Source organism: Homo sapiens, chromosome 3 (assembly GCF_000001405.40).
Source record: "Homo sapiens chromosome 3, GRCh38.p14 Primary Assembly".
Classification (NCBI taxonomy): domain Eukaryota; kingdom Metazoa; phylum Chordata; class Mammalia; order Primates; family Hominidae; genus Homo; species Homo sapiens.
The window spans coordinates 42,351,147-42,370,926 of record NC_000003.12 but is presented as its reverse complement, the minus strand read 5'-3'; the positions used below and the strand labels follow the sequence as shown (position 1 = coordinate 42,370,926).

At 42.5% G+C, this 19,780-nt stretch overlaps 1 protein-coding gene across 1 annotated transcript in view, besides 1 other annotated feature; it reads left to right on the top strand.

The window, feature by feature from the left end:
- LYZL4 (lysozyme like 4) overlaps positions 1–10,163 on the top strand; it is a 49,847-nt gene extending 39,684 nt beyond the window's left edge. Inside the window, exon 5 of the mRNA XM_011533355.4 lies at positions 9,533–10,163. Within this exon, the coding sequence (XP_011531657.1) occupies positions 9,533–9,602 (70 nt within the window). The 3' untranslated portion in view covers positions 9,603–10,163. The remainder of the gene's footprint in view (positions 1–9,532) is intronic.
- Positions 660–1,288: an enhancer, noted in NCBI's record as "OCT4-NANOG hESC enhancer chr3:42411131-42411759 (GRCh37/hg19 assembly coordinates)". NCBI's record gives its function as "activates a minimal SCP1, AML or CMV promoter by ChIP-STARR-seq in primed H9 embryonic stem cells {active_cell/tissue: H9 hESC(primed)}" and the evidence as "EXISTENCE:reporter gene assay evidence [ECO:0000049][PMID:30033119]".
- Positions 10,164–19,780: the final 9,617 nt, after the last annotated feature.

Here is a 19,780-nt window from a genome sequence, read left to right as displayed (position 1 = left end):
GAAAAGGCTGGAAATGACCATTCAGATCGTATGAGGAAGGTTCTGAATTCAGATGGAGGCATAGTCAATTCTGGAGAGGAGATTTAGTAGACGAACTCTACCAGTCAGCATTCTGAGTTGCAAGCAACAGAAATCCATTCCCACTAACTTTAGCAAAGAGAGGAATTTATTAGAAGAATGTAGTAAAGCCTGAAGATTTGAAAGAAAAGCTGACTAAGTGGGCCTCAGAAGATACAAGTATCGGGACATGTAGAAGGAAATAGTGGTAGTGAGTAATGAGCAGTGTATTAGTTAGGTATTGCTGCAATAAAGCTGCCTAACAAATAGTCCCCAAATCTTAGTGGTTCACAACAACAAACATTTCATTTTTCTTTTTCATTGGCCTGGAGATTGGCTGGCATGACTCTACTTCAGGCCACAGCTGAGTTTAGGTCTGTAATACGTATCTCTTTGTTCTCCCTGGACCAGGGGCTACCTGGGACTTTTATTTTCATAACAGAGGGCAGAAGAGCAAGCCAAACCACAGAAGAATATTTAAGGCCTGTGTTCTGATCAGGCTCAGTAATATTCCCTTGGCCAGGGCATGTCCTGGAGAAAGAGAAGGAAAAATAAGGAGGTGGGAGTCCATGGTTGGGGGTGGGTGGTGTCTGTGTGGGAAGGGGGTGGGGTTTCAAGGGAAAATGCTGTAACTACTAAATAGGGGCAGTGTTGCCAGTGGGATTGCAGTATACTGAAGTCCAGCAAGCCAGCTAGAGTCCCTTCCTCTACTCAGAATCTTAGTGACTCCAGAACTCTAGTTACTCCAGGTTTTCCTTACATCTGATGATGGATGCAGAACATCCTGGAAGTGTTAATATTATCCCCCAGCTTCACAGCGTGGGAGCCCCTGGAGTCTTTGTTTTGTTTTGTTTGAGATGGGGTCTTGCTGTGTTACCCAGGCTGGATTTGAATTCCTGAGCTCAAGCAGTCCTCCCACCTCTATCTCTCGAGTAGCTGGGATTACAGGTATGCATCACCACGCCCAGTACATATTCCTGCTCAGACCCAGGTGATAAAACTGAACTCGAAGGGAGCAGCCTGCATCCCCAAATGCTTGCATGAAGCCTCAAGCCTTGTGGCCCCCCAGAACTGACCAGGGTCCCAAGAGATCAGATCATGCAGGGGTTGTGGGGTAGGGGAGTTAAAACCTCTTTTCTGGATCCAAGTCGAAAGCATTCCACTTGCCATTGCCCCTCCGGATGGGGAGCAAAGCTCCCAAAGTTTGATGCTGAAGCCATCAGCCCTCCCCAACTCTGTGTCTGGGCCTCCGAGAGCCTGGGGTTCCTCTGGGAGGACAGCTTGGCGACTGCATCCTGCTAGGCGCTGCACCTTTGGCTGCTCTCTAGTTCAAACATAAAACTTTTTATTCCAACTGGTGATTTTCCTCTCTTGGCCAGGGCCAAGTCTTCTGTTTCTATAAGCAGAGCCCTGGTTGCTAGGTGACAGCCTCACTTCAGGTTCCAGAGGCAGCTAAAGCAGAAATGAACCAAAGAGATCTGAAGCCTTCACTTTAAAGACAAAATATGAAACCAAAAGAGAAAATAAGACCCTAAATTAATTGGAGAGTTACATAACAACCAGACATTGTTCTGATGCCCTCCCTACCATGCCGCCAAGACCAGTAGGATATATTTAAATGTATTATTTTTCAAAATAGGAAAAAAGTAGGAAGTTAAACTGATAAATATAGTTGGCTTTTGACTGAGAAAGGAAACTTCTAATTACATAGCTTTTCTAAGCCCCACAGATCAGATCTATACCTTCATTAGGCTTTGAGTCTTTGTGGAACTTATTAAAACAATTAAATCTGCAGAGAACTGCAGCCATCAGCATTTCTCACAGCTGTGCTGGGGATTTAAGCTTTTCATTAAAATTGGATGGAGGCTTGCAAATCAATAAGAAATAGATGAACATTCCAAGTGAAAAACGAGTAAAGAATGTGAATAGGCAATTCACAATAGAACCACAAGTGGCCAATAAACAAATAAAAAAATTGCCAAACTCATTAGCAGCTGAGGGAGTACATTAAAACAATAACGAGAACACATTTTTAATCTACTAAATGGCAAGTATTTTTTTAAATGATAATATACAGATGGGTGAATATACTATGGGTGAACTGCCATTTTGCTGTACTTGGTTAGAATGCAGTTAGAGAAGACCTTTCTAGAAAGCAATCTGGGCGCATATTGAAAGTCTTAAACATATGCACACCTTTTGGCTGAGCAATACGGTGCCCTTATTTACAAAAATGTTCTCATAGCATTATTGATAGAAATTTGAAAAAAAAATCTATCCAACAATGGAATATTAGCTAAATAAAAAGAAATCACTTAAATACATGCATAAGTATTCTCAGATTGTGAAAGGGAAAAAAAGCAGGTTATAAAATTCCATATATGTCATGAGTTCATTTTGTAAGTGAAAAAGAAGGTGGTATACACCTGCATAGAATACTATCAGCTGGATGTTCTAAAACGTTCTCAGCCCATGGAAACTTTAGTATCTCAGCAATTCTTTACAAAGCCCCTAGACACCCCTCGACATCCTCGCCCCACCAAATAAAAACCCAACAGTTTTATTTGTTAAGTAGTTGGATCCAAACAACTTAATAGTAGTAGTTAATCTGTGACCGATAGCTATTACTATATTTCCATTAACTATTTGAAATACCCCATAAGTTTACTGCAGAGCCCTGGGGCTCCGCAGCAACTAGTTTGGAATGCAGCTGTAAACCAAAATGGTCCTAATGGTTAAGAAAGAGTGTCTGGAACTCAGGCTGCCTGTGTTGGAATGTGGGCTCTCGTTTGCTAATGAGTGGTCCTGTGCAAATTGCTTATCTTTCCCATGACTCCGTTTCCCCATCTAGCAAATGCAGCTAAGAGTACCTGCCTCTTAGGATTCTTGTGAGACCTGTGAAATGCTGGGTGCTCCACTCTCAGCAAGAAATATCAGCCACTGTTAACTCTTGCAGAAGACTGTAGGTGACTTTTATTTTTTTCCTTATGCTTTGTTGGGTGTTCCAAATATTACATAATAAACATGTGTTTCTTTTGTAATGAATATTTTTTAAATGTTTAAATTAAAGAAAGATAGCATTTTAGTTCACCCTGTCCCGAGCACTGTACCCAGCAGAGCCAAGGACAGAATAGGTCACACACCTTGGCAATCATTCAAGAAAGCCCCTCATATCCTGCCTCGGGAAGGCAGGGCTTCCTTTGGGCATCTTATTCTTTAGAAACACTGGACAGCTTAGCTGCCTATTCCCCAGCTACAGGCATCCCAGCCTTTGCCATGGCTCCCATTGCCACCTCTGCTGGGAGCACCCTTGACCCTCCTGTGCCTGGCCCGTTCTCATGCCCTCCAGCCAACTCAGTCCTCCAGCCCAGTCTTGATAGGCCTTGGAAGCTGTACTTGATGACTTCATCTTTACTATATTGAAATTTTCCATGTCTGTGTCCGCTTATTCTTCCCACCCCATGCTTCCTTGATGGGGAGCTATATGAGTTTCATCTGCCTGTACTTAATAAACATTTGTTGACTTGAACATTTGCTTCTTGGAGGGGCCCAAGTGTCATATCAGGGATTTATATTTGTTGTTGTTATAGTCCTTGGGGACAAGGTTGCCCTTGGCACACTCAATTTTGTCAGAAGGGTAGGGATCCTGGTAGGGGGTCAGTGGGCAGGCAGCTGTCTTCTAGGGTATGTGTGTGGGGTGCTTTATTGGGTCATCGAGGCAACCGGTGCTTCAGCCCTGGGCTTAGGGAAGCATTGACTATTTCTGAGAGTGAATGGCTAGCTAGAAGGAGCTGATCCCCATGGCACTGGTCTAAGGCCACCAGGCCATCATATCCACACAAGCCATCCACAACTGATTGCTGTCTATTCACTTGATCACTCGGCAAATGGTGATTAAGCACAAGCTATAAGCACAGCCCTGTACCAGAAACTAGAAACAAGATCAGAGGTGGGGTCTAGGTCTCATGGGGAGACAGACACAGACACCAGTGTGGGTTGTTCATAGGTTAATTATTTCCCAATCACTTCTTTGTGTTTTCTGTCTCTCCCACTGGAATGTTGTGTTTGCAGTTGCATACCCAGGGCCTTAAAGCAGGGCCTGGCACATAGTAGGTACTCGGCATGTTCGTCTAATGAAATGAGTAAACAGCATTTGAGTGTGAGGGCTGTGAGCCCCAGCCCAAGCCATGGCTGCTGGGATGGAAGTGTGAACAAAGCCTGCTGAAAACCAAGGCTGGAGATGGAGAAGAGACAGAGAAAGGAGGGGATCGTTTGGTGTGAGGAGGATTAAGACATTCCTGCCTGGAGGGTGACACTGGAGTCAAGATGTAAGGAGGAAGAGAGAAAGGGGAAGCAGGATCCCAGGCAGTGGGAACAGCTTGAGCAAATCAAGAGTGAGGGCTTCTGGGGAGGGAGACCCAGCGCAGCAGTGGCATAGCTTCTGCCTGGTGCCGCCACAACCTCCCCTCCTCAGGACGTGTGCCAGGGAAGAAAGGCAGCCTCAGGCCCACTCAGTGCTCACTGCTCTACTCCCCGTGTTCTGGCAATGGGCAGTGGCTTCCAAGGCTGGGGCCTCACAAGGTGGATTCTGAAAAGATCAGGTCAAAGTTTTGACAAATGGGAGACACACACGAGGGCCTGCAGTTCAGAAGCACTTCCTGGAGGTCCTGAGACAAGCCCCAGGGACAGGCCAACTGGTCTGGCATCCTTTCTTCCCATCAGCCTCCCAATGTGGACAAACATGGCCTTTTATCTAGTGGCCTGGGGAGAGAGAAGTCTCCTTCCCCTACCCTTCCACAATCCCCCACTCCCTAACCCCAGTGCCTGGAACAGAGCAGCCTCTCCAGAAGTAGGTACGTTTAATTCAATAGAGTAAAATCTTCCCAGTTGATATGAAATTGGAGGTAGAGGGCTTGGAGTGATAAGGTGGAACTTCTAAGTAGCTGTTTTACTTGTTTAAGTTTTAAACAAAAGTTGTCATTATTTCAATATAGAGTATATGTTTATTACAGAAAATTAGAAAAATGCCAATAAGTAAAAATTTAAAAAATGTAAACATCATGTTTCTACTACTTAACTGTTACTGTTGTAACTTTTGTCTAGAGCATACCCTTTGTGGTAGATTAAAATATTGGTACCAATTCTCCATTCCCCTGTAGTAGTAGTATATATCCACACCGTGTCGTGGCCTTGTGGTGGGTGGACTAAATCACCCTGCCCCTTGATTTTGCACCTAGCTACGTGACTTGCTTTGGCCAATGGGATGTTAGCAAACAGGGTACAATTAGAGGCTCGATGTGTTCTCACATGGTTGACCTTGCCGATTTGCACTCTAGCCTCTCACCAAGAAAAGGATGTGCCTCAGGTAGGAGTTGGTCCAAGGAGGATGAGATGCACATGGAGTAGATCTAGGTTCAACCTTCAGCCCAGTCAAGGCCAGCCTAGATAACTACAGAGAACCTACAGATGAGAGAGCGTGAAATAAACTCTTATTATTGCATGCCACTGAAATTTATTTTGTTACACAGCATTTTGTGGCAATTGGTGACTGATACACCCTTTAAGATATTTTTCTATACACATTTGTAAGCCAAAATAAAATCATACTATGCAGTTTTGTAAGCCACTTGGTTCCAATCTTATATTTAGATAAATTTTTATTAATACTCAAACCATATTCAAATTTCCCCAAATTACCATAAAATACCCTTTATAGCTGGTTTATCCAAACCAGTTTCAAATCAAGGACCTGACATTGCATCTGATTATGTCCTTAAATCTCTTTTAGTCTAGCACAATCCCCTTTTGTATGACACTGACATGTTGAAGATGAACATAGTTTGGCTAGAGTATGCTGCATGCTTCATAGCACAGCACTTTGGGGAGCCATAATGCCCAGATGACCCTTTTGTCTAGCTCTCACATACAAGACAAGGCAAGACCAAGGCTAAAACCTGACTGGTTATATCAGTAAAGTCACAGTAGGCCACTTTTAGACTTAGGCAGCTTATTACCTACTAAGACAGTGAAAGGAAGTATGCTAAAGGTACCAGTTACCCATGGTTCTTGTCTCACACGCCAAAAAGATGACACTGAGGCTGGGCGTGGTGGCTCATGCTTGTAATCCTAGCATTTTGGGAGGTCAAGGTGGGAGGTCCACTTGAAGCCAGGAGTTCGAGACCAGCCTGGCCAAGATAGCAAGACCCTCTCTCAAAAAAGAAAAAGAGGCAAGCACAGTGGCTCATGCCTGTAATCCCAGCACTTTGGGAGACCGAGGCGGGCAGATCACCTGAGGTCAGGAGTTTGAGACCAGCCTGGCTAACATGGTGAAACCCCGTCTCTACTAAAAATACAAAAAAATTAGCTGGGCGAGGTGGCGAGTGCCTGTAATCCCAGCTACTTGGGAGGCTGAAGCAGGAGAATCACTTGAACCCAGGAGGCAGAGGTTGCAGTGAGCCAAGATCGTGCCACTGCACTCCAGCCTGGGCGACAAGAGCAAGACTCCGCCTGAAAAAAAAAAAAAAAAAAGAAAAGAAAAAGGAAAAGAAAAGGTGACACTGAAACAAAAGGGGCCAGATAATTGCAATGCAGGTTGTAGGACACCCCATTGCTGAGGAGCCAAATGTAGACTGTAGCTAAGTAGAGTTATATTCTGCAGCAATGTTCTGAGGCAGGGAGCAACAGGGGTGGAGCAGAAAGCCCCATACCTCATCAGTGCCGGGGAGGCCATGAGAAGCTCTCCCATGACTGCCTCCCAGGGGAGATAGGGAGGTAGGTGGGAGATGGCCCCACAACCGCTCTTTTCTTGCCTCTTACCGTCTTGTGTTCTGGGAGGGTCACAAGGTGTTCTACCAAGACTCAGATTAGCTGTGGCTCAAGCCTTTGCCTGTGTGGGTCATGCCAGGTCACCGCATCACAGTGGAGCTGTTTTCCTATACCTTCCTGACTGAGCCTAAATTTCACTGTTGGGAAAGGGTGATGATGGTCTGAGTCCTTCACTAGAGATGATCCGTGTAATGTTCCTATGGCACCATACGAATGCTTAGTCCCATCAACCATTCATCTGATGATTGTAATAATAAATACTTCTTGCTTGAATCAACCATTTTCATAGTGCTGGTGAAATGATGCTTTTTCTGTCCGCCCTTCCTTCTACATCTGTTACCTCAATTCTTCTGTGACATAGAGCTTTCCTTCAGCAACTTGGGCTATCTGGTTCCTCTGAAACAAAGTTTCAACAGAGAATGTGGGATTGATGCTTGATTTTTACAACTGCATTTTCCAACATTTTATTATAAGGAAATTTCAAATACACAGCAAAGTTGAAAGAATAATACTGTGAACACTCCTATACCCACCAACTAGATTGAACAATTGTTAACACTGTCTATATTTGATTTATCTCTGTGTGTATATATTTTATTTTTGCTGAAAATAGATTGCAGCTATCACGATACTTCACCCCTAATTATTTCAGCATGCATCTCCTTAGAATAAGGATATTTTTCTACATAAACACAATGTCTTTGTGACTCCTAAGATAATTAACATTAATCCCTAATGTCACCCAACATTAGACCCAAATTTAAATTTCCCCAACTGTTCCCCAAAAATGTGTTTTATGGCTGTTTAAAATAAATAAGTGAAGTTTAACCAAGTTTCATGTATTACAATGGTTATGTCTATTTATTTTATCGTAGAATAATCTACTTTTTTTTCCCATGGAATTTATTTTCAAAGAGACCATGCCAGCTGTTTTATAGAATGTCTCACATTCTAGATTAATTTAATTGCTTCTTCACAGTTCACTTGACTTGTTCTTCTACCTCCCTGGGTTTCTTTTAGATTCAAATTTTGTCCAAAAGCTTGACTGGATCTCAGTTAAACAATTTTGGCATTCTGGGTAATGCTGTTTCCTTCATGTTGCATCTTTCAGGAGATATGTAGTGTTAGGTTTTCCCATGGTAAAGGATGCTAGGTTGAATCACTTAGTTGAGTTAGTGACTACCAGATTTCTCCATTATAAAGGCACATTTCCCCTTTGTAATCTATGGGGTGATACTTTGGCAGTGTAGATATGTATTCTCCATCAGCCTTTCATTATCTGCTATGGCCTGAATATTTATGTCCCCCCAAAATTCATAAATTGAAACCTAATTCCCAATGTAATGGTATTAGGAGGTGGGGCCTTTGGGAGATGATTAGGTCGTGAGGGTGGAGCCCTTGTGAATGGGATTAGTGCCCTTATAAAAGAGGCCCCAGAGAGCTGACTTGCCCCTTCCAACATGTGAGGACACAGCTAGAAGGTTCCATCTATGAAACAGAAAGCAAGCCGTCATGAGACCCCAAATCAGCTAGTGCCTTGATCTTGGGCTTCCCAGCCTCCAGAACTGAGAAAAATATAATACATTTCTGTTGTTTATAAGCACCCAGTCTATGGTACCTTGTTATAGCAGTTCAGTGAACTAAGATAACCTCCATGAATTGCCCGAATTGGTTATTACACTGGGGATTGTCAGATGGTGCCTTTCTAAATCTATTGTTTCTTCTGTTTATGAACTGGCATTTTTCTGTAAAGAAGAGCTTCCCCTAATTAACTGAGGATGAACTAATGTTCCTACACACAAATAAGCAGGATGGATGTCTTTTTTGTTTTTTAATTATAATTTTCAGAATAAGGACTTGGTATATTCGTTATCTTCAAGGGCAGCAATTAATATTTTTTCTTTTTTCCCCTCTCTTATGGTTCTCTGTTTATTCAGTGTTTTATAATAAATTGTAGTCATTGTCAAACTGTTTCAAATTTGGCCACTGGGAGGGCGTGCCAACTGGCTCTTGTGACATGTTCCTAATGTACACCTCACCAAGATCCTCATTAGTTAAAATTCTTTTAATTAAAAAAGGAATACAACAAAAGGGAACCCTAATAGAAACTATGGACCTTGGGTGATAATGGTGTGTCAGTATAGGTTCATCATTTGTAATAACTGCACCACTCTGGTGTGGGAGGTTGATAGTGGGAGAGGTCGTGTATTTGTGGGGCAAAGGGTATAGGAGAAATCTCTGTACCTTCTCAATTTTGCTGTGAACCTAAACCCTGCTCTAAAAAGATAAAGTCTATTATTTATTTTATTTATTTAGAGACAGTGTCTCACTCAGTTAACCAGGCTGGAGTGCAGTGGCGTGATCACAGCTCACTACAGCTTCAACCTCCTGGGCTCAATCCACCCTCCCAACTCAGGCTGACAAATAGCTGGAACAACAGGTGTGCACCACCACACCCAGCTAAAAAAAAAAAAATTTTTTTAAGAGATGGGGTTTCACCATGTTGCCCAGGCTAAGTCTATTTCTTTAAAAGAGGAATACCTTAATTTTTTTATTAGAAAACATTAAATAATAATTATATAGAATACAATATAGAAGTATAGAAGTCTTTCACCTCTCTTCTGTCCTTCCTACCCTCCCTTTCTCTCAGTCCCTTCTCAGAAGTAAACACTGGGAGCCATAGAAGACACCACTGTATCTTCACCCTTGGTTTGCTATGAAGATGTGACAAAGAATGAGGAAGACCTACATGTGTTCCTATGGAGTGACTACAATACATGTTGTCAGATGGAAAAAATCAAGCTGCAGAATAGTGTATATCGTATGTTACCATATGTAAAAGAAAGGTGGAGAAATAAGAACATATACACACATATGTTACATACACATATTCATTTGCTTAGTTTTACAAAAAGAAACACTGGAAAGATAAACTAGAAACTAATAAAAATTGTTGCTCATGGGAGGTGGAATGGGAAAAGTGAAGGAGGGGATACGAGTGGAAATGAGACTTCTCTGAATATGGCTTTTCACATAATTTTGACTTTGCATTCAAATTTTACATATTCACAAAATAAATTAAATCAAAAAGAAAGAAAAGACAAACTTGAAAATTGAAAACATATCAGGCTTGGCTAAAGGAACCTAATTGCGTACCAAATTAGTAACACAGATATGACGAGAAAAGAAAAAAATTCAGACATCTCTGATACAGTTCTCTGGTTCTAGTCCTCTGTGAAAAATATTCCAAGAGTAAAAAAAAAACTGCATATAAATATTTAAGGTTACTTTGTAATTGTATTAGTACTGGTAATAGTGGTTTTTAACTTTGGAAAATTTTTAAGTATATTGTAAGATTAAAGCAAAGAAGTAAATTCCTGAAACTATTCTATCTATGTATATTAGAGAATAAAGAAAATAAGTAAATATATTCTAATAGTATTAAGAATCAAAAGATTTTTAGAGTAAGAAAAAAGCGATTTATATACAAAATACAATAGATTTAATGAAAACCTGAAATGTTACATTTGAATTGGAGTAAATATAAACTCATAATTGTATATATTATATATAATACGTATATTTTTATTTTTTCTCTGTCAACTGAAAGGCCCTAGAAGCAATAACACCTCAGTATACCAAGTCCCCAAATCTTAGCTTCTAATAACAGTACTGACCGGGTGCCACTGGTGGCTCACGGCTATAATCCCAGCAATTTGGGAAGCCAAGGTGGGCAGATCACTTGAAGCCAGGAGTTTGAGACCAGCCTCGCCAACATGGCAAAACCCCATCTCTACTAAAAATACAAAAATTAGCTGAGCGTGGTGGTGGGCACCTGTAATCCCAGTTACTCAGGGAGCTGAGGCAGGAGAATTGCTTGAACCCAGGAGGTGGAGGTTGCAGTGAGCCGAGATCGTGCCATGCACTCCAGCCTGGGCAACAGAGCGAGACTCCATCTCAAAAAATAAAAATAAAACAGTATCCTTCCCCACTCAAATGAATGATGGCTCTTTTGGGAAATAGCTGATTCCAGGGAAATACAAGAGGAATCTCATAAGTCTGGTTGGTCCAGAAATGCTTAAAGATGAATGGGACAAAGTTTGTCTGAGACTGAGGGAATTTTCTGCACACGGGACTTCCAGTTTTAAAACTGGAACAAGTAGGTCACTCTATCAAATCCCCTGTGGATGGACATTTGGATTATTTCTAATTTTTGCTATTATAACTAATGTCACTATAAAAAACCTCCTGCACATGTTGCTTTGTATCCGTGGACGTGTATCTTAAAGGTGAATTTCTGGAAGTGGGATTGCTTAGGTTGGCTAAAGAGTAAATGAGTCTGTAGCTTTGTTAGATGTCGACAAGTTCTCCTCTGCAGGAAGTGTACTCTCTTGCCTGCCATTATTTGCCCCAGTGCAGGGACCTGATCCAGCAGGAACAGAATATCTCATGCCACACTTAGGAAGAAGGATGCAAATACCCCTGAGATTTACTTGTAGAGAGTATAAATGACTAATATCAGCCTCTTTCCTGAGTAATGATTTTGATGGTGGGAAAGGGGGCAGGGAGGAAAAGATGCATTGATATCCTTGTGGGAGGCCCTAAATCCAGACTTCTCCTGCTTACAGGTTTTCCCTGGACTAGACCTGTGCTTTCTGCCTGAATTTCTTACCCTCTGATAACTTAGGCAAATGAGATCGCAGATTCCAACCCTTTAACTCTATAACCCATTCTCTTTGGCATCCAGACCCCCTCTACTAATTAATACAAGGCATTCTCATTTCCCCAGGTCTTCCTTTTTGGGCCCTTTGCTTATTGGTGCTATTGGATTGGTACCTAGGCAGCACAAGAGGGCCTCCCTTCTCCATCCCAGCCTTCCCACCTGTACTGGGACATGGTGTTTCTTCTCTTAGGACTGTCAATAGATATTCAAGAGAGGACCCTGTGTCCATTTACAAAATAGCAAAATGCTTCCCTAGTCCTGCTGTTCCCAATTTTTTGTTTTCCTCCCAGCAAATATAACATTTACATATTGATAGTGAAGGAAATAACGTATACAGTGGTCCAAGACAAAGTGCCTTGAATCGGTTTAGGTTAGCAAACTACAGAAAAAAACAGGATACACTAGGCCCCTGCTTGGATAGTCAATGCCTGCTTGTCGCGCACCTCCCTGCACCACCCCCGACCCCGTTAGTTGCCCCCACCCAAACCAAAAAAGTTTAGTCTAAGATGAAAGTTTACTAGCCTGCAAGATAGCTCACTTTGTCTATTCTCATCAGCCTGCCCAGCTACTTAAGTCATAAGTCAAATACTTAAAGAGCCCCTGAGCTGACTAGGAATGCAACGCATTGTGGGCTGCAACAAAATGCAGCAAGACAACCCCAAAGAAAACACCTAAGCCCCAGCCCAGCAACTGATAGGTGACGTGTGGGAAGATTGTGACCCCATAGTAGTCAGCCTATGAGGAACTGGGGGAGGAACCTGTGCACTAGGGGGTAAATTGTTTGTTGTGACTGTGCTGGGTGTGCCTGCCCATCAGACACCTGATCTTGCAAGATGGTCCTTAAAAGTCTCACTTTCGCTGTTCTCCGGGTCTCTGAGTCCATTCTTTAAATTTGGACAAGTGAGTTTGTTTCTCACAATAGGCATTCCCAAATTTTATGAAACCTCAAATTATGCAAGTAAATGAAGCAATAGGCATGACAGCCTTTTTTGGCCCAATCCTCACAAAAGCATCTCATATACTTGTGTGAGATTCAAGGCCCAGCTATGGCCCTGTTAGGACAGGCTCTGTTTGTATGACACCCAGGTTCCTGGACATAACTTCCTTCCTCTCCCCATCAAGAAAGCATGATATTATCGAGAGTGAGCTAGACTTATCAGTATTTACAGGAAGCAATCTCCAAGCATAATGTTGAGTGAAAGACAAGTTGCAAAAGGAAATAGAGTGTGCTAATATCTCTTGAAGACTCACAAAACAATGCATTGTTAATGAAAGACTACTTATGAACAGAACTAACATTCAGGGGTCAATGCTGGGTAAGCTGAGTGGTATATGGTTGGTTATCACTCTGGTTGGTGCCATGCTCCATACATGCTCTTAAATATCTTCATATTTTGTCCCCCCAACCATAGTAGCAAACTATGAAAACAAGGATGAAAAAAATATACAGCATTAGAATGGTGAGTACTTCAAAAATGTCAGGAGGAGAGAAATGAGGCACAGGGAGAGAATTTAGCTTTACTTGCAACTGATTTTTGTTTCCATTCTCTTTTCTTTTTTTTAGTATTTGAAGAAATACAGGCATCATGGAGATATTGCAGGTGTCAGAACAAAATGAATTGTACAAATTTTTTGGTTTCCCAATGCATGTAAATGTTACATTTACACTATATTGTAATTTATTAAGTATACAATGACAGTATGTCTAAAAAATGTACATGGCTTAATTTAAAAATGCTTTATTGCTGAGAAAATGCTAATGATCATCTGACCCTTCAGCAAGTCATCTTTTTGCTAATGGAGGGTGTTGCCCTGATGTTGATGGCTGCTGACTGATCAGTTGGTGGTTGCCAAAAGTTGGGGTGGCTGTAGCAATTTCTTAATATAAGACAACAATGAAGTTTGCCTCATTGATTGACTCTTTCACGAAAGATTTCTCTGTAGCATACAATGTTGTTTGATAGCCCTCTAACCATAGCAGAACTTCTTTCAAAATTGGAGTCAATCCTCTCAAACCCTGCTGCTGATTTATCAACTAAGAATATGTAATATTCTAAATCCTTCGTTGTCATTTCAACAGTGTACACAGCATCTTCACCAGGAGTAGATTCCATCTCAAGAAACCACTTTCTTTGCTCATTCACAAGAAGCAACTCCTCATCCACTCAAGTTTGATCATGAGAATGCAGCAATTCAGTCTCATCTTCAGGCTCCACTTCTAAATCTAGTTCTCTTGCTATTTCCGCCACACCTGCAGTGACTTCCTCCACTGAATTCTTGAACTTCTATAAGTCATCCTTGACAGCTAAAATCAACTTCTTCCAAACTCCTGCTAATGTTGATATTTTGACCTCCTCCCTTAAATCGTGAATTTTTTTTTTTTTTTTTTGAGACGGAGTTTCAATCTTGTCACCCAGGCTGGAGTGCAATGGCATGATCTCGGCTCACCGCAACCTCTGCTTCCCGGGTTCAAGCAATTCTCCTGCTTCAGCCTCCTGAGTAGCTGGGATTACAGGCATGCACCGCCATGAACAGCTAATTTTGTATTTTTAGTAGAGATGGGGTTTCTCCATGTTAGTCAGTCTGATCTTAAATTCCCAACCTCAGGTGATCTGCCCGCCTTGGCCTCCAAAATTGCTGGGAGTACAGGCCTGAGCCACCGTGCCTGGCCAAATTGTGAAAGTTCTTAATGACATCTAGAATGGTGAATGTTTTCCAGAAGGTTTTCAATTTATTTTACCCAAATCCATCAGAGGAATTACTATTTATGGCAGCTATATCCTTATGAAATGTATTTCTGAAATAATAGAATTTGAAAGTCAAAATTACTCATTTCACTATTTCATGAGCTTCAGAATGGATGTTGTGTTAGCAGGTATGAAAAAAACATTAATCTCCTTGTAAATCTCCATCAGAGCTCTTGAGTGTCTAGGTGTATTGTCAATGAGCAGTAATATTTTGACAGGAATTCTTTTTTTCTGAGCAGTAGTTTCAATAGTTGGTTTAAAATATTCAGTAAACCATGCTGCAAACAGATGTGCTGTCAGGCTTTGTTGGTTCATTTATAGAGCACAGGCAGAGTAGATTTGGAATAATTCTGATGGCCCCTAGCATTTTCAGAATGGTCATGAGCATTGGCTTCAACTTAAAGACACCAGCTGCATTAGCTCTTAACAAGAGAGTCAACCTGTCTTTTGAAGTTTTGAAGACAGACATTGACTTCTCCTCTCCAGCTATGAATGTCCTAGATGGCATCTTCTTCCAATATAAGGCTGTTTGGTCTACACTGAAAATCTGTTCTTTAGTGTAGATGCCTTCATCAATGATCTTAGCTAGATCTTCTGGATCTCTTGCTGCAGCTTCTCCATCAGCACTTGCTGCTTCACCTTGCACTTTTATGTTATGAAGATGGCTTCTTTCCTCAAACTGTATGGACCAACCTCTGCTAACTTCAAAGTTTTCTTCTGCAGCTTCCTCACCTCTCTCAGCCTTCACAGAATCAAAGAGAGTTATGGCCTTGCTCTGGATCAGGTTTTGGCTTAAAGAAATATTGTGGCTGGTTTGATCTTCTACCCATACCACTAAAACTTTCCCCATATCAACAATAAAGCTATTTCCCTTTCTTATAATATGTGTTTACTGGAGTAACATTTATAATATTCTTCAATAATTTTTCCTTTGCTTTCACAGCTTGGTTAACCATTTGACATAAGGGGACTAGCTTTCAGCCTATTTCAGGATGAGGAGGAACATGCCTTCCTCACTAAGCTTAATCATTTCTAGCTTTTTATTTAAAGTGAGAGATGTGCAACTCTTCCTTTCATTTGAACACTTGCAAGCTATAGTAGGGTTATTAATTGGTCTCATTTCAATATTGTTGTGAATCAGGGAATAGGGAGGCCAGAGGAGAGAAAGATTGGAGAATGGCTGGTTGGTGGAGCAGTCAGAACACAGACAACATTTGTTAAGTTCACTGTCTTCTATGGGTGTGGTTCATGGTGCCCCTAAACAATTACAATAGTAACTTCAGAGATCACTGATCATAAATCATCATAACACATATAATAATAAAAAGTTTGAAATATTGTGAGAATTACCAAAATGTGACATAGAGACACAAAGTGAGCACATGCTGTTGGAAAAATGAGACCAATAGACTTTCTTGGCACAGAGTTGCTGGAAACCTTCAATTTGTGAAAAACACAGTATTTGAAAAGCAAAATAAAGCAAAGCTCAATAAAATGAGATATGCCTGTATTTCAAAATATTACTGCTTGTTAAATGTGCATGTAGATGTTTTATATGATTCTCTACACTTGTCCATATTTTAAAAATATTTCAGAATTAGAATATTTGTATGCATATATATTTTAGAGTGAGAAGAAAGTCAGAATGCAAAGGAGTGAGAATGACATTTTAGGAATGGACTTAAGACCTCTAATTTGTATAAAGGATGAAAAGGAGGAGGTGGGAGAGAAGGAGGAGGGAGAAAAGGAGGAGGAGGAGTGTGAGGAACAAGAGGAGGAAGGTAAGGAGGAAGAGGAGGAGGGTGAAGAAGAAGAAAGGAGGAGGAGGAAAAGGAGTAAATTCATTCCCAAACACCTGCACTCTAACTCCATTAGTTACAAATTCCCTTGACCATCCATAGTGGGCTGGTAACAGATGGGGCAGTTCAGCAACCACTGAAAAGAGTTAAGCTGACCTGTAAGTCCTGGATATGGAAAATGTCCAAGATGTATTCTATTAAACGAAAGAAGCAAGCACTGCATAACATTCATTGTGTGGTCGACTGTTCCCAGTGATTTCCTCGGGGAAGGGGTGGGGAGTAGGGAGGCAGTGGTGGAGGAGTTCCTACTTTTTTCTAGATAATTATTCATTTCTTAATGTTTTCTATTAAGAATAAGCTCATCTATTGCCTTTTTAATTGAATCCATTTTAAAGTGGTGAGGATAATGGGAGAAGTACAGGCAAAAGGCCTTAAAAGAAACAAGAAAGACCTCATAGAGGAGGCAAGCCACCCTGAGGCACAGGTAGAATCTGGGATGCACAAGTAGGGTGGGAGAAGGGACAGCAGACCAGAGACATGGAGCCAGAGAGTGGGGATGGCTTCTAGGAAGGGTGTGTGGACCTGGGATGTAGGCTGGGGCCAGATTACACTGGATTGCATTATCAGACTAGGAAGCTTGGTTTCCACCTATTCCTTCCCTCCCTCAAACAGACTCCTGTCTTGAGGAGCCAGGGCTGTCCAGGCAGAGCTGGGCCCACAGACTGCAATGAACTCAGCCCAAGGGCTGCTGGGAGATGGGCCAAGGTAAAGATCAACCCCAAATGCCATGTTCTGGAACATGGAGGTGGGTGGGAGGAGGAAGGTAGGCAGGGCCAGTGCATCCTTACCCAGCTATGATCAACTGCTGGGCACTTGGCTTGGAGCTGGGAATGAAAATACAATCTGCTAATTAAGCTAATTGTTTGAAAGGCATTTTTTTTTTTTGCATAGTCATCAAAAAGAGGCATAATGAGCATAAAAACAAAGGGATCTTTTATTTTTCATTCATGCCTTAATCATCATTTCAAGTACCCTAGCCTGGTCAGTATAATTATAGGCTCTTGGTACAGAACTAAAGCTAATTTCCCAAAGGACATTGAGTTCACATCTCTGTTCTGCCAGAAAGCTGGCCCTGTTCTCTCAGGAACTTCTGGAATTAGGAATGCTTCTTCTCTCTGTGCCCAGACTTGGATGCCTTTTGATCGCATGGAGATGGATATTTCAGATCACCAAGAGACAGAGACTCTAAGAAGGCTTCTTTCTCCCTACACGGAGAAATCATTTTGTGATAGAAAAACTCAGTGCTGTAGTGAGGGCCATGGGGAATAGGCAGCCAAAAATGACAACTGTCCCCCCAGTCGGTGTTGGTCTGAGGACTGCAGAGCAGGATGCAGGGTGGTCTCGCCATAAACCTGGACGCTGATGGGTGGTGATGGAGAATTAGGCAGAATGAACACTTCTGCTGTCACCAGACTCATTGATAAGACCATCCTGAGGCAGCTGAAAGTGTTCACCCATATCCCATCAGAGACCCTTGCTATTTCAGCGCATGGTGTCAGCCTGACTGCCATCAGCCATCTTTGTTGCCTGCAGGAGGGAAGGAGTGGGAAGAACCAGGGAATTACCATCTGGGCCAGTCCTTAAGCCATGACTGGCAGGTGTGAATTCCCCAGCTTTGTTACCTTTCACTGTTTCCCAGAGTTTCCTCTTAAGCTTAAGCACCAGTTCCATATTGCAGTAGCTGGTGTGACAGCACACACTTACTAGCTGCCTTCCCTTGCTCAAATATCTTTCTTCTTCACCTACCCATGTTCCTTCCACTTCCCAAATAAACTACTTGCACTCATATCCTTATCTGAGGGTCAGCTTCTGGGGGAGCTCAAACTAAGACCCATGTGTGAACCTTGCTGTGAGCAACTATGTCCATATTCCCTCACACTTTAGAACATTCATTTCCTCCTAGACCTTCTGAGTCCTTGTTCACCACCCAGCCTTCTGAACTTTGCTACAGGTTTTCCTGCTGTGTCCCGCATCCTGGGGATGTGCCCCAGGAGCCTCTATGGGCAGAGGACTAGGTGGTTCTGGGGACCCTTTGCCCTGTATTAGCCTGAATGGCTCTGCTTTAACCTGTTTACATATGAATTTAATTTGAAAAAAGAGTTCTATTACTGCCACTGAAGAGAAAAGGTGATTCCCAGATGAGAATCTGCTTTTAATGAGTTGAGCTCCTCAGGATCCTGAGTTTACAAGCCTGTGCCTTTCCACCATGTAGGCCCTCATGGAGGTGTCTGCTGACCTTGCCCCATGGCTGCCGCCCTGGCATCACAATAGCAGCCTGAGCAAAGGATGTGGTCCATGGCCACTTAGGCCCTCTGAAGAGAATCGAGGAAACGTTTCTCTCCCTTCCTGAATCTCCAGTCTATACTTCTGGTTCCACATCTTTCCTCATACATTCCTTCCAATCCAGGCAAATGGACTATTCACTTTTCCTATTTTGCAAGGACACTGTCCTTACTTGGCATGTGTGGTAGACGAAATAATGCCCCCCACCCAAGATATCCACTCCCTAGTCCCAGGAGCCTGTGAATGTGTTACTTCACATGGCAAAGGCGATTCTGCAGATGTGGTCAAATTAAGGATCTTGAAGTGGGGAGGGTGTCCTGGATTATGCAGCAGGGGTCCCAGTGTAATCACCAGATCCTTACATGAGAGACGGAGGTGACAGTGGTCAGTCAGTGTGATGCAATGTGAGAAACACTCGACCAGCTGTTGCTGGCTTTGAAGATGGAAGGGAGCCTTGAGCCAGGGAACGTGGGCTACCTCTAGAAGCTAGAAAAGGCAAGAACTCAATTCTAGAGCTTCCATAAGGGGACACAGCCTGTTGACACTTTGATTTAGCCCAGTGAGATCCATTTCAGACTTCCGACCCCCGGAACTGTGAGATAGTAAATCTGGGTTGCTTTAAGCCACTGAGTTTGCAATAATTTGTTACAGCAGCAATAGGAAACTCATACAGTATCTTATGCTGCTCCCTCTGTCTGGGACACCTACCTTTCCCCACTCTCATCTCCACAAGTCCTCCCCAACCTTTCAAGGTCCAGCTTCAGTTCCCCCTCTTATCACGGAACTTCACTTGTCCTGCCTCTCCCCCCGAGCTATTATCCACCCCTTGGGAATTGTCCAACACATCCCCAGCTCCACAGCCCAGGCCCAGGACTGTCCTTCTGCCCTTAAAACACTGTGGTCAATGGCACCAGTTTTTCCCTTCAGCACAACTGGTGCAGACATTTTCAAGAATTCTACTAAAAATCAAAGGGGAAAAGGAATGATCTTCCAAACCACAAACATGAGAAAAATGTGTTATGCTCTCAAGTACAATTTTTTAATTCAAAAAATCCAAGTAGCAGTAGAATGCTGCCAATAGCAACCCTGAGGCACTGTCCTGGCTTCCTGCCCTCCTCCTCCCTGCTGGCTCTCTCCCGGATGATGTCTTGCCCACCGTGGAGCCATCTGATCCCCTCTGGGGCCTCCCACATTTATAGGTTCACACCTTCTGGAGCTCATTTGCTCACTCAGTTCTAGTACGAGGGCCTCAACCAGTCTGCAGCCTTTGGAAGGGCTCTCCTGAT